Below are 18,666 nucleotides of genomic sequence, written 5' to 3' on the forward strand. Positions count from 1 at the left end.
TGGCTCCAGGCAGACCAATATCCCCAACCCAGAAGTGTTGGGGGTTGTTAGAAAGCCCTTCCCCAGACAGCCTCACACCTGAGTCTTAAGTCCGGTGGTCACGCTAATCGTTTTTAACTGTCCGACAGGTGCCCGGTATTTTCCTCCAATTCTAAGGATAGGACAGAATAGCAAGCGAAAGTGGTCCCAATATTACTCATCGCTTTGGAGGTCCCATGTGGGTCACCAAAATGTTACTGGGGGGTCCTTGCACCCAGAGCTCCCAAGATGGTGGTGGGCCACTTCCAAAATGGCAGCAGGCCACTTCCAAGATGGTGGCAAGCCTCGTGTTCTCTGATCTGGGGTTCTTGGCCTCACAGATTCCAAGGAATGGAATCTTGGGCCATGCGGTGGTGGTGGGCCTCTTCCAAGATGGTGACAATCCTCGTGTTCTCTGACCTGGGGTTCTTGGCCTCATGGATTCCAAGGAATGGAATCTTGGGCCATGCAGTGAGTGTTATAGCTCTATTAGAAGCCATGGGCCATGGAAGAGAACCGTGGAACCCAGTAACTAGCGTTCAGCTCGATTATGATCAACCCGGGCACTTAGCCATGCAGGAACAATGGCAAGCCTTTAGCCTGATCGGGAGCGGCAATGGGCGCCCCGCTGGATCAGGAGCACAGCAGACATCCTGCTGGATCCAGAGGGATGGAAGTCAGCGGTGGGTCTGCGATGGCGGCAAACAGCAGAGGTGGACGGTGAGCGAAAGCTCAGCTCAAGCCGTAACAAACACGGACCAGAAGAGTGCAGTTACAAGATTTAATAGAGTGAAATAGAGTGGAAACAGAGCTCCCATACAAAGGGAGAGGACCCAAAGAGGGTAGCCCTCTATGTGTATTAATCTATTAATAATTATTAATGTATTATAATATATCATATTATAATATATTATGATAACATAATCTATACATTATAATCTGTACATTTTCTATATGCATATGTATATTATATATTCACTACAACCTTTAATTCTTACTGTAGAGGATAAAGCTCCCCCTCTGTAAGTGGACTTTAGATTCAGGTGAACCTTGGTTCATGTACCATCTTTACCATCTACTACGTTTGCCCATGAGGAAGTTACTTAACCACCCTGTCTCTGCCTCTTCATCTGCAAACTGAACTGTGAGAATGAGAAGAGATGCCATCGATGAAGTATCTGATACCTGCTATTGCTATTCAATAGACTTTTATTCCTCCTGGGTCCCAGCATCTGTTAGCCTTTCCAAATCAAACAATCAGCTTCTTGTTCTTAGAACTTAAGAATAAAATCCTCTCCAGCTCTGGACCATGGTTGGGCCTGGGACATCCGGTGGCTCAGAGCAGACATGAGATGACAATGAATTCGTTCTCAGGATCCACATTTTCCAAAGCCCTTAAACTTCCTCCTTGACAGGAGTTTAGGTTCTTCTTTCTGCCTTCTCAGTCATTCCATTTTTGCTCCCATCAGTAGTTTGTCTAACCAGTAAAGCAGCTCCTGGCTCCCACTGCAACAGGAAAAACTGAGGGGAAAATCCTCTGGGATTTTTCTTCTTGATATTTTTATTTAAATGTCATTCTGTTCCAAGTTGGCTTCTTGGAAGCTCTGGCTTGGAAAGATTAGCTTTGTGTCTTTCAAACTACTTTGACTGCAAAAAAAGGTGGGAGTCTTCGGTTACAACAAAAATCCACTCCCACACTCTTCTAGAGTAGGACATTTTTTGCAGTGGGAGGTAAGTTATTTTATTTCCATTTAAACAAAAATTGTATTTTTAATTTTATTGCTCCTATTCATTATATTGCTCCTATTCATATTGTTATGGGTTTTCTAGAATAGGCCATTGAGCAGAAAAGAGTTAGACTGGCTTATATTATGGGGAGATGCCCAAAATGCAGCAATTGGATTTTAATTTATCATTAACTCAAGCTTTTAACTATTTATGACTTTATTTATGTATATTAAAATTAATTATTCCTTGCCTTGAAACTTACCATTTTGTGAAATCCAAAATCTTTATATTGGTCTAGTTCTTCTTTTAATTCTTTAATAACTTCTTCTTTCTCTTTCAGTTTTCTTAACAAAATATTTGTTTTGACAGTACTCGCATCTTGCAAAGAAACATTCTCTTCTTCTACCTCAAAGAATTGCTAGGGACAAAAAAAAGCAGCATTAAAAATTAGACACTAAGCATTAAAAATTAGGCACTTACACTAAATTAGACACTCAGCATTAAAAATTAGACACCACCAGAAAACATTTCATCTTTTAAGCTACTGTTTTGTGAAGGTTATTTTTGTAACCTGCATACAATTTTAGTAAGCAACTTTATTTATATTGAAATATATGCTTAAAAAGTATTACGCACTATGTAGCACAGTGTTATCCTATAAAACACAAAGCATGGTCAGTTACTCTTACTGTATCAGCCATGTAAACTACAATAGTAAAGAGCGAGATGGAAGATTAGGAGAACGTCTACTCAACAAGAATTTGGCAGCCATCCGTGGACAAAAGTTCCCTTGAGGGAGATTTGGGACCTGGATAGAAGACTGCAAAACTCTAGTGGAGCCCAAGACTGAGGAGGGCTGTTTTGACTGGCAGGCTGCACCTAGGTGGCAGGCTCACTGACCATGGTCCCAGCTACAAACCCAGAAATTGCTTCATTGCCCTGTGGACTTGGTCCTGCCTCTAGAACCATCTGCCAAGAAATCCAGGAGGAATCACATTCACCTGTACCTCTGGTGACAAGCCCACAGGCCTCAGTCTCAGCTGTGGATCCTGAATCAGCTCTGTAACTCAACCAAACCCACTTTCAGCTGCAGTTTGAGACCAGTCCTGCCTGCCCAGGCACCTGCTGGGAGTCATGCCTATTTGTGCCTTCAGAAGCAGGTTGGCTGACCTCAGTCTCACAGCAGATCTTGAAACAGCCCTTTAACTTGGTCCCAGCCCTCTCAGCTGCAGTCTGAGAGCAGTCTTGCCCACCCAGGGGCTTGCTGAAAGCTATGCCTTTCTGTGCCCCAAAGGCAGGCCCACTGATTTTGATTCCACTGCAGATCTTGGGGTGGGCCTGCAACCTAGTTCTGTCCCTTCCTAGCCTTCATCCAGAAGCAGTCCTGTCCACCCAGAGATCTGCCAGGAAACATGCCCATCAATGCCTCTGGAGGCAAGCTGCTGACCTCAGTCTGATGGAGAAGCCTGAAGTAGCCCCGTGACCCAGCTCGAGCCCACTCAGCCATGGTCCAGGAGCAGTCCTGCTTGCCCAGGAGCCTGGCAGGAGGCACACCTTTCTATGTCTCTGGAGGCATGTCTGCAGACCCCAGTCTCAGTGTAAGCCATGAAGCAGCCCTGTAATTCCCTTCAAGCTCCTGTCAGCCATGGTCCATGGCCACTTCTCCTTGCCCAGGTACCAACTCAGTAACCCAGCAGGAACACTACAAGGGACCTGAAGGAATACACACTCATCTGTGTGTCTGGTAACAGGCCCACCATCTGCAAACCCAACTGTGAAACCTGAAGAATCTTCTTTACCCAGCACCAACTCTACAGACTAAGGTCCTGGAAGCAGTTTATTCTTTCCAGGGGCCAGACAGGATCCAAGCCTGTTCAAGCCCCTAGTAATAGGCCCACTAACATGGTCCCCATTGCAGACCCAGCAGCAGCCACGTAACTCGGCTGCAACCCTACTCAACTGCAATCCTGGAGGCAATCTTATCAGCTTAGGGACCCAAAAGAAGAAAATCTTTACCTACCAAAACCAGTCTGTAATGACTGGAGGAAGTGTCTGCTCATCCAAATGCACAAACACGAACATAAGGCTATATAGTTAGTGAAGAATCAGGCAAACATGACACTCTCAAGAAAATGAATACAGTTCCAGTAACTGACTCCAAAAAAATGGAGATCTGCAAATCATTTGATAAGTAAATCAAAATAATTATCTTTAAGAAGCTCAATGAGACGCAAGAGAACACAGATATGCAGTTGAACAAATCAAGAAAAACAATGCATTAACAAAATTAGAAGTTTAATAAAGCAATAGTAAATGCTAGGCATGGTGGCTTGTGTCTATAATCCCAGCTACTTGGGAGGCTGAAGCAGGTGGATCACTCGAGGCCAGGAGTTTGGGACCAGCCTGAGCAACATAACAAGACATCCTTCTGTAAAATTTTTTTAAAAAGAAAAGATTAAAAAATGGGCCAAGGCCTAAATAAACATTTTTCCAAAGATGATATACAAATGGCCAACAGTTACATGAAACATCGCCAATCATCAGGAAGATGCAAATCAAAACTACAATGAGATATTACCTCATTATGATAAGAATGAGCTATTAGAATGAGTATTTTCAAAAAGATAAGAGATAACAAGTATTGGCAACGGTATGGAGAAAAGGCAACCCTTGTGCACTGTTGATGGGAATGTAAAGTGGTACAGCCATTATGGAAAATAGTATGGAGGTTCTTCAGAAAATTAAAACTAGAACTGCCATATGATCCAGCTATCCTACTTCTGGGTATATATTCAAAGGAAATAAAATCATGATCTTAAAGATATTTGCATTCCTATGTTCATTACAGCATTATTCACAATAGCCAAGATATAGAAACAACCTAAATATCCATCAACAGATGAATGAAGAAAACGTTACATACGCGCACACACACACACACACACTCTCTCTCTCACATACACACACACACAATGGAATATTTACAATGGTAGTATGTACAATGTATATATTAATACAATAGAATATTTTTCAGCCATAAAAAGAAGGATATCTTGCTATTTGGGACAAGATGGATGAACCTGGAAGACATTATGCTAAGTGAAATAAGCCAGATATAAAAAGGTAAATAGTGTATTATCTCATTAATATGTAGAATCCAAAAAAGTTGAACTTGAAGCAGGGAGTAGAACGGTGGTTGACAGGCTGGGCGCGGTGGCTCACGCCTGTAATCTCAGCACTTTGGGAGCCCTAGGCGGGCAAATCATCAGGTCAGGAGTTCGAGACTAGCCTGGCCAACATGTGAAACCCTGTCTCTACTAAAAATGCAAAAAATTAGCTGGGCATGGTGGCGGACACCTGTAATCTAAGCTACTTGGGAGGTTGAGGCAGGAGAATCACTTGAAGCCAGGAGGTGGAGGTTGCAGTGAGCCGAGATAGCACCACTGCACTCCAGCCCAGCCTGGGTGACAGTGCCAGACTCCATCTCAGAAAAAAAAAAAAAAAAAAAAAGAATGGTGGTTGACAAAGGCTGGAGCACAGGGAAAATGGGGAGATGTTGGTCGAAGGGTATAAACTTTCAGTCATAAGATGAATAAGTTCTGGCAATCTAACGTACAGTATGGTGACTATGGTTAATAACGCTGTATTGTTTACTTGAAATTTGCCAAGAGAGCAGATCTTGTGTCCTTACTGCCACCGCCCCCCACCCCACACACAGTAGTAACTGGAAGTATGTGTTAATTAATTTGATTGTGGTAATCATTATACAATGTATTTCAAATCATCACATTGTATACCTTGAATATATACAATTTATATTTGTCAATTATACATCAGTAAAGCTGGAAAAAGGTAATAATAGTAAATCCTAATAGTAAATTGACATCACGATTTGTGAATATCCTACTTTAATATTCCTCTAGAAGGGAAGACAGTAAAAATTTGAATATGTAGAAAAGGAAGTAAACATCAATGGTGCAACTAATTGCCTCAATAGACTGGAATGGAGATGTTGAAAGAAGTAATACACCTTGACATCTTGTTTTAAGCATTTAGATGCTTCCTATCTGCATTCATTACTCTGAAGAACTATATTACAAAACCAAAAAAAGGATGAAATGCTTTAAAAGTGGATAATGTTACTTACTTCCAGCATTTAAAAATCTTATTTTCAACACTGTTATGCAAAACCTGTGGTTTAGTTTGGACTCTTTTTGAAATTATAAAGAAACCATTTGATTCTTTGTGTGTTTGTTACTAATATATTTGGGTACATACAACATACAGGAAATATAGCAAAACCTAGTAATATCTGCTAATATACTTAATGTTATATTTCAAAAGAGTTAGATTTGTAAGCTCAAATTGTCCTAATATGATGAATACCAGCAGACTAAGAAGAATAATATATGAAGGTGGCTATGAACAGCACTGGCATAATCTATACAGTATGAAAAAATGAATGTACAGTAGAATTAAAAAGAGTGAAAAAGAATACTCCATATGACAATATCCAATATCAGCTTTTAAAATTTTGTGATTTTATTTATTTAGATTTTTTATTTAGTTTTTTTTTTTTTTTTTTAAGACAGGGTCTCACTCTCACCCAGGCTGGAGTGCAGTGATGCAATCGGCTCACTGCAACCTCCGCTTTCTGGGCTCAAGTGATCTTCCCACCTCTGCCTCCACCTCTGCCTCCAAAGTAGCTGAGACTTCAGGCACATACCACCATGCCTGGCTAATATGTGTAATTTTTTTGCAGAGACAGGGCTTTGCCACATTGCCCAGGCTGGTCTCAAACTCCTGAGCTCAAGGGATCCGCCTGCCTCAGCCTCCCAAAGTCCTGGGACTACAGAGCCACCGCTCCTGGCCTTAAATTTTGTGATTTTTAAACAAGAGTATTGATTATGTATATCTAGTCTTTACATCTATTCTTACATATGTCTACAGCTCAAACACTCTGCTAAGGTCAACACACATTTATTCTACTAGGGCCCTTAAGTGTTACTAGGCATTACGTATCCAACAGATCCAAACAGAGTTCAACACCTTCACTGTCATCCTTTCTGCGTCCCCTTATTAACAGCAGCATAAGCCAGAAACCCATTTTAAGCCCCTTCTTCTCTTTCACGAACTAATCAAACTTGTTCGATCTACCCCTAATTCTGTACCAAACCTCGTCACCTTCTTTCCTGTTCCACTACAATCTTCGTACTTGCCTTGTTCACCTGGATATTGTAAAAGCTTCTTAAAACTAGCCTCCCTGCCTCTTGTTTTGTCACTTCCCTCCAATCTTCATCCAGTAGCCAAATAACCTTTCTAAAATACAGCTCTCCCCATCTCCTCCTACGGGCTAACATCCAACTCCCTTAGCCTGGTATACAAAACGGCAGCCTTCATGATCTGCTGCCAACTTACCTGGCCAGCATCTCATGCCAGTCTTCTCTCCTCTTTCTTCACCCAAACTGGGCATTTTATCAATACTGATACACTCGGCATCCAACTTCTCAGAAACACCACGTTGCCACAGGTCTCTGTGCCTTTGTACTTGGAGTTCCCTCTTAGCCGACCCAACAAACTTTTGCTTGTCATTCTAGCAGAATGGTATTAGAGTGGGATAGCCTGAGTCTGCAGACCAGCTCTGTCAGCTTGGGACCTTGAACAAGTTTCTTAAACCCCGAGTGTCTCAGTGTTATCATTTGTAAAATGGGACTATTAATAATAATACCTGAATTGTGAGAATTAAATAAGATAATGCATGTAAGCAATTTTGGATAGTGCCTACAACAAAGACAGCCCCCAGTAAGTATTATATCCCAGCATTTAGTCCTGTTGTGGCTATTTTTCATTCAAATCCAGATGCCACCTGCTCTGGAAACCTTAGCACCGGTCTCCCACCCACCCACCTTCCACCCCTATGTCCTTTCTCTATCCTGTGAACACTCTTCTTGGGGTCACTTTATTATTTGCTTACTTTCTAACTAATTTTTATGTTCTGAATAGGTTGGGTTTATTTTACTCTTAAAAAAGATACCTGCGCTTATATGTTTATTGCAGCACTATTCACAATGGCAAAGTCATGGAACCAACCTAAATGTCCATCAATGGTTGATTGTATAAAGAAAATGTAATATATTAATATATATATCATGGAATACTATGCAGCCATTAAAAAGAATGAAATCATGTCCTTTGCAGTAACATGAATGGAGCTGGAGGCATTATCCTAAGCAAATTAATGCAGGAACAGAAAACTAAATACCACATGTTCTCACTTCTAAGTGGGAGCTAAACAACGGGTACACATGAACATAAGGACGAAAATAATGGACACTGGGGACTCCAAAAGGGAAAAAGGTGGCAGGGAGACTAGGGTTGAAATATTACCTATTGAATACAATGTTCAATATTGGGGGATGGATATACTAGAAGCCCAATCCTTACCATTATGCAATATACCCATGTAACAAGCATGCACATATACCCTCTGAATCTAAAACAGAAGTTTTTAAGCCAGCAAAACAAAGATTGCATGACAGCGCAGAAACCAATGCACTAAAAATTATGAGAAAGTGATGCAGGCTGTTTAGGGAATGATGTTCTGACTGGTGCCAAGTCATCTTCATCAGAGCATGTCACGGAAGTGCCCTGGGAAACTCATTTAAAATCTCACCCAGGTACCACACTGAGAGGTGCTTGAGCCAGCCTGCCTTCTGGATGGGCTCGGCCACTCTGGACTTCAGGACAGGGAGGGCCACAATTCTTTGGAAGAACAAAAAAGTTTTACTTTTACATGCTTCCTAACCTTGTTTTATTAGTGCAGACTCAAAGATTCCTCTTTCAGTCGGTCCTCAAACTTCAGCTGAAGCAATTGTTTGAAGAACCCAAAATCCACCTGGAGGGATTTACCTTTGGCTTTTCAAAAAATGGTTGTAAGGTCCAAATACAATGAATTCATTTTTCTTCATCTCCTGGAATGTTTCTGATGTTTCACTAGTGTTTATGGAATGAGCTGGACTCTGTGGGAGATAGCAGAAAGCAGTGTGATTTTCCCACACTGCCCCTGCAAATCTAGTTTCTAGTCTCATAGTTCTCACCTTTTAGGACTTTCAGGAAGACACCATGGCTTTATTTTTTTAACTTAGTAACAACTTTAACCTTAGACAATGACAACAAAATAAAAGGAAGAAAGAAAATGGGAAGAAAGCAAAAACCAAAACCAAAACAAAAAATTCTAGTCTAGCCAACTCTCACCCATTAATGCTTCTGTCCTCCCACCACTCTGGCCCCCCTTAGATTTGGCAGTCTGCAGTGGAGGAGAAGGGTTGAGCCTCTCTTTCTTTTATTTCTGCAATTTGAGATTCTCCAACTATCTGGTGCAGAGGAGAGGGAGAAACGTTAAGGGAACAGAAACAAGTGTCAATTGACAGTAACCTGCTGCCTTTGGTTCCCAGGAGGGTCCATGCTGGCCTGGCATCCTGCAATGCCCTTCACAAGAGCAGTGCCTCACTGGCTTCTGTCCTAGGACCTGCCCTTCTGCTGGCATCCTGTCACCTCTCCAGATGGTCCTTGTCAGCAGGCTTCTGCCCCATCACCCCTCCTGCTCTTCTGTGAAATTTTTCTGGCAAGTCCCATACCAGTCCTCACATTCCTCAGACCCAGGAATGCTTGTCAAGCTCTCCAAGAGGTCTAAAACTCCACTCTTGCTTGGCTCAAAGGAGAAATACTCTCTTTCTCTCTCCCATTTACAGGTCAGCACTCCATGTTGCCTGCTTTCCCCAAAATGGTCCTCTTGACCAGCTTTGTCCATTTCCAAATTCAAGATCTCTCTTATATTTCCTGGAGATGGATGATGGGCTAGTACTGGCCAATTAAGCTGCTCCACCAAGTCCTGGAATGTCCTTCAAAGAACATCCTGCTGGCATCTATTTTTTTTTTCTTTTTAGATAGGGTCTTGCTCTGTCACCCAGGCTGGAGTACAGTGGCATGATCGTTGCTCACTGCAGCTTCTAACTTCTGGGCTGAAGCCATCCTCCTGTCTTGGCTTCCCAAGGCACTGGAATTACAGGCATGAACCACCACACCCAGCCACACCTCACTTTTGAGCAGTATTTTGTTATTTACTTTTGGGGCTTTGGATGAAACTGAAACCCAAGAGTCCCATTTTAACATCCCATCTTAGGGTGGCTTACTAAAAAATGTATTACCCTTTAGTTTAAATCCCAGCCTAATCATGTGACCACTTGTCCTTCATCGAGAGGTTCTTTCTGACAACTGTCAAGTTGACAGGAGCAACAGACATCCAGGCCTGAGGGCCTGAGTATGACAAAGTTCAATCAGGCTGCACAATTCACTTATCAAACACAGGAGTTTGAAATTCCAGCTTGGGGCCGGGCACGGTGGCTCATGCCTGTAATCCCAGCACTTTGGGAGGCCGAGGTGGGTGGATCACCTGAGGTCCGGAGTTCGAGACCAGCCTGACCAACATGGAGAAACCCCGTCTCTACTAAAAATACAAAATTAGCCAGGTGTGGTGTCACATGCCTGTAATCCCAGCTACTCTGGAGGCTGAGGCAGGAGAATGGCTTGAACCCGGGAGGCAGAGGTTGCTGTGAGCTGAGATCATGCCATTGCACTCCAGCCTGGGCAACAAGAGCGAAACTCCATCTCAAAGAAAAAAAAAAAGAAATTCTAGCTTGGGTTCAGTAACAACATCAAAATAGTTACTGCCTGCTGTTCAAGGAAAGTGTTTTTGGAATTTCAATTGTCTCATTAACTTTCTAAAATAAAATTTCTATATTTTGGTGCCATCATTCTCATTAAGGTCCCGGTGTTAGTTTGCAACATTTAAACTAGGGAATAATTACTCTGTGAACATTTAGATTGACTAGGACAATACTGGATGGGAAGCAAGTCAATTGCTTACTTCAAAGGCGATATATCAACCTTTTTAGATAATGAAGGTTTTTATAATAGAGATATTAACTTTTATCATTTAGTTAAGATGGTGTCAGTATTAACTTTCTTCACTCTAAAGTTAATAAGTATTATACTTACTAATTAATACATGTTATACTCCTTAATTAATATGCATTTACTCCCAGTTAAAGTATTAATATGCATTGGTAGGGAGATATTTTAGTACTTCCGTAAGACAAACTTTTTCCTGAAATAAATAAATGCATTAGTTATTCACTTATTTACTTATAACAGTGAGCTCATGGATTCCTATTTTACTCAAATGGTTACAATTCATAATTATCATTATTTATTTTGATGCATGGATTTTCCCAGATTGGCCAAGTGGAATGAAGGAAGCCCCTACCAGCTGACTCCTGTGTTCTGACATGCCTTCATAATTTTTTGAGCATTTCCTTGCTTCAGTTACGACAAATATTGCAGGTCCTTCTTCCATTTTCCCTGTCCCTGCCCTGGAGTTGGCTACTCCTCCAAAAAGCCCTGGTTTCTTTTAGTGTAGAATATCATTTAAATCTAAAAGCTGAACTCTAGGTGTACTCATTGCTATAGGAGTGTCACTGCCTCTAGGCGCTCTCCATAGACAGAACTAGGATATACATAAATGTATCTACACACTTATATATACACATTCACATACATCTATATAGTTGCATATATGTATCTGTGATGATTAATTTTATGCATCAACTTGGCTAGGCCATGGTACTCTTTTTCAAACGTTAAATGTTGCTGGTATTTTTAGATGAGATAAATATTTAAATAGGTAGCTCTGAGTAAGGCAGATTACCCTTCATACTTCCATCATGTAGATGGAGCTCATCCAATAGGTTGAAGGCCTTCTCAGAAAAAGACTGAGATTCTCTGAGGAAGAAGAAATTCTCCTAGAGGACTGCGTTCGGACTCAAGCTATAACATCAAGTCTTTCCTGGGTCTCCAGCCTGCTGGTCTGCCTTGCAAATTTCAAACTTGCCAGCCCCCATAATTACATGAACCAATTCCTCAAAATCTCTTTTATCACCTCCCCACCCTCTCTTCTCTTTCCCTGTTTTCTCCCCATCTCCCCCAAATATTCATTGTCCTTCAGGGCTCAGCATAGGAATCACCTTTTCCTAAAAGTCTTCCTTAACTATTCACCCAAATTGACAGAGAGTTATGCACCCACTGGGTACAAACCTCCAATGTGGACTGTAATTGCTAAGTTTATTATCTCTCTTGACCACTGGATTATCCACAATGAGTACAAGGACTGGCTCTGGGCCTGTGCTGGAAAATCAGACAATGGGTGGATGAAATGAATCAAAACGTGAGTGAAAGAACAGTTAAAGACCTCGACATTATGGATTGCCTTTATTCTAGGAAATTTCCACTAGGAATTCATGATCTATTTCCAGTACCATGGTGTAGGTCGAGATATCTTGACACTCTTCTTGATCATATTCAACCCTTTATTCAATAAAATTTGTCAAAAACCTATTACATGCCACGCAGTCTGCTGGGAGAAGAATACAAAGATGAGTAAGACTCGGTCCCTGCTCTGCAGGAAGAGTCTAGTGGACAGATCAATATGTACTGGGTAAATGTGATACAATTCACTGTAGCTATTATACAGCAGAGAAAGAGCAAGAAGGGACATTATGTGAAAATTCCAGGGAGGTGGTTAATAACTTGAGGAGAGCTGAGGGAAGCAGGCGACGGCCCAGTATTGTGGGAGGGTAAAGTTTTAGCTAAGAAGTGGAAACAGATAAAAGTGAAGACATAAAAGGACCTTCTAAGCCATGCTAAGGCACTTAAACTTCATCCTAAAGGCATGGAGGAAACACTGAAGGATTTAAACAGGGCAGGATATGGTCAGACTTGTGTTTTGAACGACCACCCAGATGACTGGGCAGACGATGGACTTAATGAAGACCAAAAGGGATAAGAAGGCACCAGCCACAGGCCAGGTGAGCAACGCTGACTATCGAAACTAGTTCAGAGGCAAACAAGACGTGGATTTAGGAGGTAAAAAAACTGGCAGGATGGTCAGGCATGGTGGCTCACGCCTATAATCTCAGCGATTTGGGAGGCTGAGATGGGACGGTTGCTTGAGCCCGGGAGGCAGAGGTTGCAGTGAGCAGAGACGGTGCCACTGCACTCCAGCCTGGGAGACAGAGCAAGACTCTGTTTCAAAAACAACAACAACAACGAATACCCAAACAACCAAACAACAACAAAAAACTGGTAGGATTCAATGGCTTACTAAATATGAAAGATGAATTTGTTATCTAGTGCTGCATAAAAGTTTTACCCCAAATGTAGTGGCTTAAAACACACACGTTTGGCCAGGCACGGTGCCTCACACCTATAATCCCAGCACCTTGGGAGGCTGAGGTGGTAGGATCACTTGAGGCCAGGAGTTTGAGACCAGCCTGGGCAACATAGTGAGACTCGTCTCTAATGAAAAAGAAAAAAAATTAAGTTAAAACACACACACACACACACACACACACACACACACACACACACACAAACTTATTATCTCACAGTTTCTGTTGGTCAGGAATTCAGGTAGGTCCTCTGTTCAGGGTCTCCCAAGGCTGCAATTAAGGTGGTGTCCAGGGCTTTGGTCTCATCTGAAGCACAACTGTGAAAGGATCTGCTTCCAAGCTCACTCAGTTTGTAGAAAAATCCACTTTTTTTTCAGCTATAGGACTAGAGGCTTCAGTTTCTTGCTGTCAGCCAGAGGCTATACTCAATTCTTTGCCACGTGGGTTTCCCCAACATAGCCTCTCACATAGCCAACAGAGAGACTCTAGCAAGACAGATACTACCCTTTTATGTAACATAATTACATACAACTCTTTATCTTTGCTGTATTCGATTGACCAGAAGCAAAAGTTAAATAAATTTAGAAACTTGTTCATAGCTGAAAAAAAAAGTACAGGTACTTGTGACCTTAACTGGTCTCCAGAGGGCAGCAGAGAGTCATTTATACTTGTCAATCTACAAAAAGTGTATATAGCACTTCGTTTTATTTTCAACTTTCCTCTGTTCTTCCTTATGACTAAGCCTTAACAAACTGGGCGGCCAGGATCTGGAAGGCTGTCTGAGGTCATGGATCAAAGTGATGCCAACAAGCCAAAGCAAAGATTCCAATAATGACTTTAATTTAATTTAATATAAACAATTTTTTCTTAAGTCAACTAACCACAATTAAGCATATTTAACCAACACATATTTATGAAAAACTGATGAATACGAAGAATTTAATCATTTCATAGCTTTCTACTCCTAGAAGTATAAAGCATATGGACAAAGAGTAATATTCATTATTCAGCTATATTTTTGAACATTTGATATACATTAGAAATAGATCAATGTCCCAGAAATTGTAGAAGACACAAAGAACTATAAGAGCATGTGTTTTTTGTTTTTTGTTTGTTTGTTTGTTTGTTTTGAGACAGGGTCTTGCTCTATCACCCAGGCTGGAGTGCAGTGGCATGATCATGGCTCACTGCAGCCTTAACTTCCTGGGCTCAAGTGATACTCCCACCTCGGCCTTCCAAGTAGCTAGGACCCTAGGCGCATGTCCCCATGCCCAGCTGATCTTTTTGTATGTTTTGTAGAGGCAGGGTCTCACTATGTTGCCCAGGCTGGTCTCAAACTCCTGAGCCCAAGTGATCTGCCTGCCTCGGCCCCCCACAGTGCTAGGATTATAGGCATGAGCCTGGCCAAAAGCATGTTTTTAAAAACCACGAAATTCTGACTTACTCTCTCATTATAAACAAGAATAATACCGGATAAGATAGATTAAATGCATCTTTTTTTTTTCTTTTAGAGACAGGGTCATGCTCCGTCACTCAGGCTGGAGTATAGCAGCACAATCATGGCTCACTGTAACGTCAGACTCCTGGGTTCAAGCAGTCCTCCCACCTCAGCCTCCTCAGTAGGTAGGACTACAAGCATGTGCCACCATGCTGTCACAGGATCCTTGGGGTGTTGCTTTGCCAGCCAGAAACCTCTGTGGTCAGTGGCACTTTTGCCTGAGTTTTGCCCAGGCCTGCTGTGCTCATTCCACCCGCTTGGCCGGGCAGGCTGTGCTCGGCTCATACTACCAGCCTGGATCCCATGCCTGCCAAGGGCAAGCCAGATGCAGAGTGACAAGGGGTGCATGAGTGAGTGCAGGGTCCAGCCACTACACACAGCTAGGCATGCCAGCTGCAGCAGGGCAGGCAGCACCAGGTGCTGACAAAGGTGCCAGCTCCCTGCAAGGCTGCAGCTGGACCAGGTATACCACAAGTGGCTTCCACTGCTGGCATAGGGGAACACAGTGGCACCTGGAAGCTTGGAGACACCAGGAACTGCAGAGCCCCAAAGAGGGTGTCACAACACTGGCTCAGGGAGCTCCTAGGTCTGGGCGCCCCCAAGGGCTGCAGCTCTTCTCTCCGTCTTGTTGCCTGCAGTGTGGTGAGCGAGGGGTGTGTTTCAGCCCTGTTTTTATTACAGCTTTTTTAGTCCCACCATTTGGTGGGTCCCAAGTTCTCGTCCCACACGCAGGAAGAATGAGATATGCAGACAACTGGAGGGTGAGTAAGGCAAAGAGGTGCTTTATTGAGCAACAGTACAGCTTGCAGGAGATCTGAAGTGGGTAGCTCCTTTCTGCAAGCAGGTCATCCCAGCATCTGCTCAGCTCCCAGCTAAGAGAAGACCCACAGTGGGTAGCTCCTTTCTGCAGGCAGGTCATCCTGATATCTGTTCAGCTCTTAGCTGAGAGAAGACCCCACAGCGAATAACTCCTCTCTGCAGGCAGGTCATCCCCACTTCTGCCAGAGTCTGGCTGAGTCTAGGGTTTTTATGGGCTTCAGAGGGGAGGAAGCTCATGCTGATTGGTCAATGGGCAGCCATAGGTGGGCCTGAAAAAAGCACCATAAGTTCTCACTCCAGTCTGTGGAACTGGCAGCCTGGCCCCCAGGCTTCAGGCCACCCCTGGGTTGAAGGTGGAGCTTCACCAGCGACACATCCCTTTCCACTCGGGAGCCTGTCGCTTCCTGCTGCTGTTCATGGTGCCCAGGCTGTTCATGCCAAGGGACACCTGCAGGCCTGTGCTGTGCCACCCTCAGTGCCCCCTTGGCCTCCCTCCCATGCTTGTTGGCACCCAAACTCTGGAGGGGGCCAAGGCAGCAGAGGGCTGGTGTGTCAGCACCATCCCAAGCACACACACACCTGGCTGGGTCATAACAGCGCCTGGGCTTGGCCACAACTTTGCTTCAAAATCAGAGTGGGTGCCAGGAGTGAGGAGAGGCCAGGCAGCAGGAGTAGGCACTTCCGAGCCTGTGGGAGCAGGGGGGCTTCCTAGGCCCCCAAGAGCACAGGGATGCCTGGGTCTGCAGCCATGGCTGGGCAGCTGCAGCTGCCTCTAGGAGCGTGGAGCTCCCCCATCACCAACTCAGAAGGTGAGCACCACTCCTGCTTGTTCCTGGCTCCTGCCAGCTTAGTAGAGTGTACAGCCCTGGCCATATCTCCCCTGCTGCAGCCGGCATCTTTGCAGCAGCTGCTCCAGACAGGCCACTGCTGAAATGATTACATGGTTTATGGATGAAAAATGAAGTGACAAAAAATATTTATTCTCAGTTGCATAACTGTTTACATAGAAAGCCCCAAAGAGTCTATAGAAAACTTATTAAAATAAACACAAGAATTTAGCAAGATTTTTGGTTACAAAATCAATATATATAAAACTGCTACAGATAATGCTCATTTTCCCTCCTTCCCTCTTTCTCTTTCTTCCTTCCGTCTTCTTCCATTAAATATTAATTAGGCCAGCACAGTGGCTCATGGTTGTAATCTTAGCACTCTGGAATGCTAAGGCAGGAGGATTACTTGAGGACAGGAGTTCAAGACCAGCCTGGATAACATAGCAAGATCCCATGTCATATATATATATATATTTAAATTAACTGGGTGTGCTGGTACATGCCTGTAGTCCCAGCTACTCAGGAGGCTGAGGCCAGAGGATCACTTGAGTCCAGAAGTTTAAGGCTACAGTGAGCTATGAGCACACCCTACATTCCAGCCTGGGAGACAGTGAGATCCCTGTCTCTAAAAAAAAAAAAAAAAAAAAAAAGACCCAAAAATAAAAAGCAAAACAAAGAAAAAAAAAAAACAAATTCAATGAGTCGGGAATTAGTAGAAGCACAGCAGGGATGGCCTATCTCTCCTCTGTAAGACCTGTGACCTCACATAAAAAGAGTCTACATGGCTGGCAGCTGGAGTCATCTGGACGCTTCTCCACTCATATTTTTGACTCCTGGGCTGGGGTGACTCAAAGGCTGGGCTCAGATGAGCCTGGAGACCCAGTAGTACCTACATGTAGATCTTCCATATGGCATGGGCTTTTGTCAGCATGGTAGCTCAATTCAGGGAGGGACAATGTAGAGGGGAAACATTCAGAGTGAATAAGGATGAACTTGCAAGACTTCTTTTGACGTTAACTTAAAAGTCACGCAGCTTCACTTCCTCCACATTCTGTGTTTATCAGCAAGTCACTAAGGGCAGCCCTGATTCAAGGGAGGGGAATCAGATTCCACCTCTTGATGGGAGAGAAACATTGCACAAGAGCAGGTAAGTGGGAGACAGTGTCACAGATGCCTTTGGAAACACAGTTTGGCACAGAGTCACAGAGATCGTTAGCAGAGCAATCTGTCCTGGGATGTTTTCAGCTGCAAGTAACTGAAAAGCCAACTAACAGTGGCTTAGACACTGAGGGGTTGTTATCTCATGAATAAGAGGCCAGAGGCAGGGCAAGTCCAGGGTTACTTTCATGGCTCCATGACATTACCAAGGACCCCTCTGCTTCTTATCTTTCCACCTTGCTACCTTCAGCACATCCAGAGTATCTCAATGTTTGGTTTCACAGTGGCTGCAGCAAATCCAAGCATCAGAAGGAGACATAAAATGTCAAGCAAAGAAAAAGAAAGGGTCTTCCATGAGAACCCTTTTTTTTCTTTCCAATTTTTGTTTTAGGTTCAGAGGGTACATGTACAGGTTTATTACATGGGTAAATTGCACGTCACAGGGTTTGGTGTACAGATTATTTCATCATGCAGGTAATAAGCATAGTACTCAATAGGTAGTTTTTTGATCTTCACCCTCCTCCCACCCTCCACCCTCAAGTAGGCCCCTGTGTCTATTGTTCCCTTCTTTGTGTCCATATGTTCTCAATGTTTAGCTCCCACTCATAAGTAAGAACATGCAGTATTTGGTTTTCTGTTCCAATATTAATTTGTTTAGAATAGTGGCCTCCAGCTCCATCCATGTTGCTGCAAAGGATGTGATTTTATTATTTTTTATGGCTGTGTAATATTCCATGGTGTATATGTACCACATTTTTTTTTATCCAGTCCACCGTTGATGGGCATCTAGGTTAATTTCATGTCTTTGCTATTGTGAGCAGTGCTGCAATGAACACACACATGCAGGTGTCTTTATGGTAGAATGATTTATCTTTCTTTGGATATATAACCAGCAAAGGGATTGCTTGGTCAAACGGTAGTTCTGTTTTAATTTCTTTGAGAAATCTTCAGACTGCTTTCCACAGTGGCTGAACTAATTTACATTCCCATCAGCAGTGTATAAGCAAGTGTTCCCTTTTCTCTGCAACCTCACCAGCATCTGTTATTTTTTTGACTTTTTAATAATAACCATTCTGACCAGTGTGAAGTGATATCTTCAGGAGTCCCTTTTACTGAGAAAGAACAACCTCCTCCAAAATCTCACAGCCAACTCACCTTCAGGTCTCATTGGTTAGGGACCTGACTTTGCCTATGTCTGTGCTATAGCTGAAAAGGGAGCTGGAAGAGGAAGAATCTAGCACTTTGGCTTCTATAGTTGGAAGTGCCCCTGTCAGTAAAAAGCAGTGGGGAGAATGTGCAGTGGAGAGAATGACATTTGAGTAGGCGTCAC

The 18,666-nt window shown here is 43.1% G+C and overlaps 1 protein-coding gene across 14 annotated transcripts in view; it reads right to left on the bottom strand.

Annotated features, from left to right (window-relative positions):
* C10orf67 (chromosome 10 open reading frame 67) overlaps positions 1 to 18,666 on the bottom strand; it is a 142,882-nt gene that overhangs the window by 99,380 nt on the left and 24,836 nt on the right. For 9 of the 14 annotated variants that reach the window (XR_930487.2, XM_017016031.2, NM_001365862.2 and 6 more), the window contains one exon: positions 2,009 to 2,164. Coding sequence is in view for 12 of the 14 variants with exons in the window: in XM_017016031.2 (XP_016871520.1) it covers positions 2,009 to 2,164 (156 nt within the window). In the remaining 2 variants the exon portion in view is untranslated. Of the gene's footprint in view, positions 1 to 785; positions 1,666 to 2,008; positions 2,165 to 8,655; positions 8,766 to 10,803; positions 10,913 to 15,291; positions 17,624 to 18,666 lie in introns of those variants that run through there. The other 5 variants (NM_001351306.2, XM_011519445.3, XR_930488.2 and 2 more) reach the window with 5 other exon arrangements.

Source organism: Homo sapiens, chromosome 10 (assembly GCF_000001405.40).
Source record: "Homo sapiens chromosome 10, GRCh38.p14 Primary Assembly".
Lineage (NCBI taxonomy): Eukaryota > Metazoa > Chordata > Mammalia > Primates > Hominidae > Homo > Homo sapiens.